Consider the following 7833-nt stretch of genomic DNA (forward strand, 5'->3'; position numbering starts at 1 on the left):
CTTGCTAGAAACAAGCCCAGGGTGATCTCAAACTCCCAGGTTCAAGCAATCCTCCTGCCTTGGCCTCCCAAAGTCCTGGGATTACAGATATGAGCCACTGCCCCAGTGGTGGTACTCATCTTTTTTAAAGATGATACTGCCTGCCTCAATCTTTACAGCTTTAATTCTCTCATTTCCTTGTCAAAAGGTCAAGTCATGGCTGGGGCCAAAAAAGGGGCCAGAGGCCCAAAGAGAGAAAAACCTGCCCAGACTTGAAGCTGGGCCCCGCACTAGACTGGCCCGATTCTTCCAGTCCTAGGAATTTGTCAGGCAGATCCTCTTTTAAGTTTGCAACTCCAGACCCAGAAACACGCTCTGAGCATCAGACTGTTGGGGGTGATCAGAGTTACTGCTGCTTAACTAATTTGGGGGTCTAGGGTTACACTGCAGCACTGCGTCCTCCTGGGAGGCCAGTGACCTTCTGAATCCATCGATTTCCTCAATCACTGATGAATTTTCTTGCAAAGAGATACAGGGCTGGTGTGAGGGGCAGGTTAATGGTGCAGGCTGAGGCCCACGAGGGAGCTCCTCGGAGGGATGGGCAGCCTGGGCCTTGAGCTCAGCTCCATTTCTCCCTCTCCATGTGGGCTGTAACATGAGGAGCCAAGTCATGATTTAAGCGGACCTCCAGAGATGCCAGTGCTGAGAAGGAATCCAAACTTCTAGGCTAGTCCTTGCGCTGAGATAACCCAGGGCAGAGCTCCAAGAGCAGAGCTCCCAGGGCACCCACCCCTGCTCAAGGGAAGGGCCACCAGTGCCTGTGTGCAGAGCTGCTATCTGCTGAATTTTGGCATACATTCATGCTGGTTAGCAAACAGCCTCTCGCACAAGGCTTCTGAGTGTCCCTTCCCTTCCCCAGGTTCCCACTGCCCAGAACTCCCCCTTGATCCAGACATGAAAGGACTACTGCTTGGCAGAGCAGGGGAATTCAGCCTGGTTGTTCAGTATCTGTAATATCTATCCATCCATCAAGGCTGTCTGCCTTTGTTGAACTTCCAGGGGCAGCATATGGTAGGAAGAGCTCTGGATTCGGACCCAGGAGCTCTGGGCTGTGGAGACCCTGTCCCACCCCTCGACTGCAGCATTCCCCTTTCTCACTAAGGCTTTTTACTGCTGCACCTGGCACTCCAGCCTCAGGGCTTCCTCAGGAGCAGGCTCCTCCGTCCCATTCCAGCAGCCCCTTAAGCCATGACAAAGGGAAGTTGGTATATAAATATCCCAGCTTCCCTGCCCCGCAAGGGGAACCACCTCTGAGTGTGGCCCACACTGTCTCTGGAGGATCCCAGATGCCCACAGGAGTAACCTGTCATGAGTGTGCCTTGTTCTGGTTCCCCCTCACTCCCCCACCTGTGCTTGCTGGGATCCCCCACCACATAAACTACCTACAACCCTAAGCCTTGTCTCTGGTTCTGTCTCTGGAGAAACCCAGGCTGAGGCTGGACCTTGAGCAAGTCACTTGATCCTCTGAGTCTGTTTAATTCATTTACAAAATCTAGAAGGCAGCATCTGCTTTGCCTTTGTCACTGGATTGTGACAAGGGTCTTGAGAAAGAAAATGGCTAAAAACCTTTTAACAAATGCAGAAGCACAGACACCAGCACAGAATGTCACCGTGCTGAGGAATCTCCTTCTGAGCTCAACAAGGGCAACAAATGACCTTCATGTCCGGCTTTGCTCCCTGCAGCCATCGACTTTCTGGAGAAGATCCTGACCTTTAACCCCATGGATCGCCTAACAGCTGAGATGGGGCTGCAACACCCCTACATGAGCCCATACTCGTGCCCTGAGGACGAGCCCACCTCACAACACCCCTTCCGCATTGAGGATGAGATCGACGACATCGTGCTGATGGCCGCTAACCAGAGCCAGCTGTCCAACTGGGACACGTGCAGTTCCAGGTGCTCGCAGCCCTGGGTTCCAGAGCCCACATTTCCCTGTCCTCCCATCTCTATTTTGCCTCTAATCCTCCGTGACCTTCCCCTCTGTCTCCCAAGTTGCATAGCTCATTGGACGACTTCTCCAGCTTAGCTTCCTGCCTTTCTCTTGTGCCCAGACACTACCAGTAAATGACCAGTGTGAGTTGCATGTGTGGGTCAGAGGCCTTCCTTTGTGCAACACCCCCAGCTTCCCTCACCATGACTCTACTGAACATGGGGTTCAATACAGTGCTCCGCAAGGATTTAGTGAACACCATGGTAGGAGCTCACTTCTAGCAGCCTGGGAACTTGCCCTTGAAAAGTAAACTGCAACAAGGCGAGGCAAAAAAACAAAGCAGAGATTACCATTACAAAACGCTATCTCATGTTTCATGTTGGTAACTCTTAAAAATGCCATTAAAAACCAGGTTCGGTGGCTCATATCTGTAATCCCAGCACTTTAGGAGGCCAAGGTGGGAGGATAGCTTGAGGCCAGGAGTTCCAGACCAGCCTGGGAAACAAAGCAAGACCCCATCTCTACAAATTTTTTTTTTTAATTAGCCAGGCATGGTGGCACACGGCTGTAGTCCCAGACACTGGGAAGGCTGAGGCTGGGGAATCCCTTGAGCCCAGAAGTTTGAGGTTGCAGAGTGAGACCCTGTCAAAAAAAAAAAAATGCCATTAACGGGGGCTACATTATTATTGCCCATTGACACACAAGGAAGCTTCAGCTGCAAGGTTAAGAGACTGGCATCATGTCACACCCCTGATGGGCCTCTCTGCAATCTGCATCCATGTCAGACGCTGCTAAGCAATTATAGGACCATTTCCTGCTAAACTGGGCTTGGCTACAGAATCCTCAACAGGTGTCCCTGGAAGCCACTACCAATGAATCAGCGTTGGGTAGAAGATGTATTTTTAAACAATTTCTGCCTAGGCACGTAATGATCTCTTAGATCTTTTCCTGTTCTGACGTTCTTAGATCAGGCAGCTAAACATTTGGGCATCACCATCTGCTAATTCTGGGAGGGAGTGCTGGTAGCTGCTCAGTTTAGAAACAGCAGTCGAGGGCTCAAGCAGCTAGGACTCCGAGGGGGCCTAACTGGGAGTCCCACTGCCGGGGGAATGTGACAGCTAGTTACATAAGTGACAGATGAGCAATTTCTCCTTTTTAGTCATTTGACAGATGATGGGTTTCAGATTAAGGAGGCACTGAGGGAGGGCCAGGGCGACGCTGCTATTTTTGGACAGGTTTGCTGGCTTGTTGTTGTCAATTGTTGTTTTCAAGCATTGCCAACAAATAGAGATTAATGAAGACTCTGTCTTCTGCCACCCCTGGGGCAGCCCTGCCCTTGACTGTGGTTCCTGCGGCAGCTTCCCCTTCCTCCAGAGAGCCTGGAGGCAAAGAACATTGGCTCAGGGAGAGTCATCCTATACTTTCTGCGACTGTGGCATAGGGTTGTGCCAGGAAAAACTGTCACAGGATTTGTTGCTGCCTGTCCACCCTGACCACCCCTAAACCTGGTGCACCTCACCTGTGCTCCCAACCTTTGCCATCACACCTGCCCAAGGGAAGAGGATGACAAAGGACCTTCTTGCTGTGGGCAAGCTCCTTACCCTCTTGGAATGCTAGTTTCCCAACTGTAAAGCGGGGGTGATAACACAAAGTCCACAGGGTTGCTATGAAGACTACAGATAATGTATGTTTGGCACTTGGAATAGAGCAGCCAAGGGTCAGCGTCTTCACACACTCTTCCTCCTGGAAATTTCTGCCCAAGGCCACTCAATCAAGGAGGCAGGGTTCAGCTGTAGGAGCAATTCCTGCCCTAGCAGCGTCACTGGGAGGCGGGCAGTGCTGAGGCCTTCCTGTGCCTCTCCAGTCACACTCTGTGGGCTACAGCTGCCAGGTCTATCCCACACAGCCGAATCTGCCTCTCCTTGGTCTATCTGTTGGGCCTGCTCAGGGAGTAGCTGGCTGCAGGCTGATGTCCTCTGTGCTCCTGCCTGCCCCACAACCCCAGGGTTCTAGGTAGAGCACCCGCACAAGGAAGGGAGGGCTCCGCCAGAGCTGATGGCCTGCCTGTCTGCCCATCTGCCCTTCATTTGCTCTTGGCTAGCTGACTTCACTCTCCATGGCTGCAGAGCAGTCGAACGGGGCAGAATGCCAAAGATCTTCAGCTTCTCTGGAGGGTGTCTGTAATCTTTCTGTAGGTCCCACCTGCCCTGCGTCAATGCAAGGTGCTATGGGGCCCCCAAGCAGATCCACCAGGGCAGGGGTTCTCAGCCCTGGCTGTACTTAGAATCACCTGGGGGATCTTCAAAACATGCTTAATCAGGTCCCCACCCTAGACCTACTCAGTCAGAATTGGTGGGGGGAAGCAGTGAGGCAGACATGCTATTTTATTTTTAATTCCCCTATGTGACTCTAATCTGATCCAGGGTTGAGAAGCACTCACTGGAGCCTTGCTCCTCAAAATGTGGGTCCAATGCCCAGCAGCATCAGAGCAGCTGGGAGCTTGTTAGAATCTCAGGCCCCATCTCAGATCTACAGAATCAACATCTGCATTTTAGCAAGACCCGCAGGTGATTCGTGCATCTATCAGCTTTTGAGAAGCATTGCACAGGTGGATCCCCTAGAAAGTTTCACGAGGACAGGGACGTTTGTTTTGTTCACTGCTGTATTCAGTAATGTCTGGAACAGTGAGTGCTGGCACATGGTAGGTGCGCAGGAAATATCTGCAGGGTTTCGAATGCGTACAAAAGAACACAAGAGTTAAGCCGAACAATCCATGTCCCCAGCTGAGCCCCCAAGGCTCGCCATTACCTGTCCATCACCCTCCCACCTTGAGGGATGGGGGTCGAAGGCAGGTGTGTGAGTGGCAAACAGGGATTAGAGGGCTTGGCTCCCTCCCGGAAGCTACCTGGCTTGGGCATCCAATCACCGCTCTGTTTGTACCCTTGCAGGTACCCTGTGAGCCTGTCGTCGGACCTGGAGTGGCGGCCTGACCGGTGCCAGGACGCCAGCGAGGTACAGCGCGACCCGCGCGCGGGTTCGGCGCCACTGGCTGAGGACGTGCAGGTGGACCCGCGCAAGGACTCGCACAGCAGCTCCGAGCGCTTCCTAGAGCAGTCGCACTCGTCCATGGAGCGCGCCTTCGAGGCCGACTACGGGCGCTCCTGCGACTACAAGGTGGGGTCGCCGTCCTACCTGGACAAGCTGCTGTGGCGCGACAACAAGCCGCACCACTACTCGGAGCCCAAGCTCATCCTGGACCTGTCGCACTGGAAGCAGGCGGCCGGCGCGCCCCCCACGGCCACGGGGCTGGCGGACACGGGGGCGCGCGAGGACGAGCCGGCCAGCCTCTTCCTGGAGATCGCGCAGTGGGTCAAGAGCACGCAGGGCGGCCCAGAGCACGCCAGCCCGCCCGCCGACGACCCCGAGCGCCGCTTGTCTGCCTCGCCCCCCGGCCGCCCGGCCCCGGTGGACGGCGGCGCCAGCCCCCAGTTCGACCTGGACGTGTTCATCTCCCGCGCCCTGAAGCTCTGCACCAAGCCCGAGGACCTGCCGGACAATAAACTGGGCGACCTCAATGGTGCGTGCATCCCCGAGCACCCTGGCGACCTCGTGCAGACCGAGGCCTTCTCCAAAGAAAGGTGGTGAGGGCGGAGGGGCCGCTCCAGGCCCCACAGAGCAGGAGACCCCCAGAGAAAGCCGGGGCTGGCAGGAGGCGGCCGCCCTTCCCGCCCCTCTCTGCTGCCTTGGGGTTGGCAGAACACGTGAAGGATCCGAGGAGCGAGAGGAATGTCCATTTCTTAAACTGCCTTAATAACTAGCCTTTAACCTGTGGGAGCGGGTTTGAACAGGACCCTGGCTTAGGGGTTGATCACTTTCCTAGCAAAGGGGAGACCACATGTGGTGCACAGGGAAGAAACGGCTTTAGACAGCAGTCTGCGGGCCCCACCTGGGTGGCAGGATGCCGAGAAATCTTGCAGAGGTAGCTCCGAAACCATCTGGCCCAACTAGCCTCAACTGACAGCTGAGGAAAGGCAATTAGGCCCAGAGAGGCAGAGACACTCGCTTAAGATCACAGGCTTAGTGTGAGGACGAGCTTGAAATCCCAGTCTCCTGGCCCCCAGGCCAGGGTCTGTCCACCATAGAATGTCTTCCTCTACTGGGGTCGTTCTGGCTTTTTGTTAGAAACTTGGTCTGAGATGTTTCTTCCCTGTCCATTACCATTCGATGTTCTTTTATTCAGAGCAATGTTTCTTGTATTCTGAAACTGGAAACTGAACCAGTTTGTTTCTCCTAGTCACCAAGCATACTTTCCTGGCTCCCCAAGTACTTAAATGTTCTCATCTGTCGCACCCCTGTATTTGCCTCACCCCTGCATGGTCGGAAATCTTCGTTTCAGGTCAGAACAGCCTGGGGTCTGTGGGTAAAATCAGCCCTTCTCCCAGGCCTGTGCACACACCCCCTCAGCACTCCCTATGCACTTTCCTGACACGCAAAGACACAGCCCTCTTTCCCCACTGGGCGTCCTACCCCAGTGAGGTTGAAGGCACCAATTCCAAGAATCCCTCCAACCTCCCTGCCAGCACTCCCCCTTCACCCCACACCCGGCCCCCCCACCTAACCACAGCGCCTCTCCAGACCTACCTCGGGACCTAATGTTCTCTACATGAACTGCTCATTTGGAGGACAGCAGTGAGGTCCTGCCATAGAGCAAATGTGTTAGGAGAGAAGGTTTCACATGGGACCCAACATCCTTCATCAATACTTTCCTGAGTTTGATCATCCATTTAGCCTTGACAAACAGCAGACCCTACAGAGATGTGTTGGAGAGCACGTCGTGACCTTGGGGGCAAGGAATCCAGAAAGGTAGGAAGATATGAAAAGAGAGGTGTCAACAGCAAGGGCTCTTAGGGGTCAGGCACCAGCATGGAGACCTCATGACAAAGGAAGGGACTCAAAGCAGCAATGCCCCTCATAGTGTAGGCTAAGGTGAGTTTGGTGCATGCAAACCTGTGTGCTCACCCACAGAGCATGGGGTAATGGTGTGTAGACACAGGCCCTCTGCAGAAGCGTGGGGTGGGGACACTGACAGCCCCTATCTGGTCCCCAGGAACATTCTACCATTTCTGCCACTGGTGTTCAGCTCCTTCTCTTCCCCCAACACTCCCAAAGATACCCACAGGAAGTCCAGCCAGTTTCCAGGTAGAGGATTCCACCAGTTGGTCTTGGGCTGCGTTCACCCTCACATCACAGCACCTTAAATCTAATCAGCAAACTATAATTTGTACGTTGAAACCTGCAACACATTAGAAACTTATATTTAAAAACAGAATTAATCACACTGACCAACTTTTAAATGGAAAATATGTAAATAGGAAGTGTTTGGGTTTTGTTTTTTCTTTAAGAAAAAGAAATGTACACCACTCCTCATGTGCCATTTTGTCCTCAGAGGGCGGCTTTACTTTTTTGGTAAAGGAACAAGCTGCTGGCCTTGACCAGGAGTTCATATATAACTGTTATTACAGAGGAATTGTTATAACTACTAATGTTTTTAAAAAATTTATTAAACATTATTAAACTTGATCAGGTCAGGCCAAATAAAGTTTTATTGGAACACAGATTTATTTATGTATTATTCATTTATGTATTATCTGATCCTGTCTTTGAGAGTGCTAAGAGCCTAGCTGGCTTCTCCCTGTGCCCATGAAGGCCACTGTATTTGGGGGTGGGGGAAGGACTCGGGAGGGGACAATCTACAGAGATTGGTAATCAGGAGGTGATTCCAGAATCATCTGGTGAGACCTGGTGTCCATATTGTGAATTTCAAACTATATCTTGGCGCTAACACCAAAACTTCTGACCAGGG

At 52.8% G+C, this 7833-nt stretch overlaps 1 protein-coding gene across 11 annotated transcripts in view; it reads left to right on the plus strand.

The window, feature by feature from the left end:
* Positions 1-7587, plus strand: part of MAPK4 (mitogen-activated protein kinase 4) — a 172215-nt gene extending 164628 nt beyond the window's left edge. For 10 of the 11 annotated variants that reach the window (XM_017025839.3, NM_002747.4, NM_001292039.2 and 7 more), the window contains 2 exons: positions 1723-1936; positions 4919-7587. In XM_017025839.3, coding sequence (XP_016881328.1) covers positions 1723-1936; positions 4919-5615 — 911 coding nt within the window. In that variant the 3' untranslated portion in view covers positions 5616-7587. The remainder of the gene's footprint in view (positions 1-1722; positions 1937-4918) is intronic. The other variant, NM_001292040.2, reaches the window with a different exon arrangement.
* Positions 7588-7833: the final 246 nt, after the last annotated feature.

The sequence above is a fragment of the Homo sapiens genome, chromosome 18 (genome assembly GCF_000001405.40).
Source record: "Homo sapiens chromosome 18, GRCh38.p14 Primary Assembly".
NCBI lineage: Eukaryota > Metazoa > Chordata > Mammalia > Primates > Hominidae > Homo > Homo sapiens.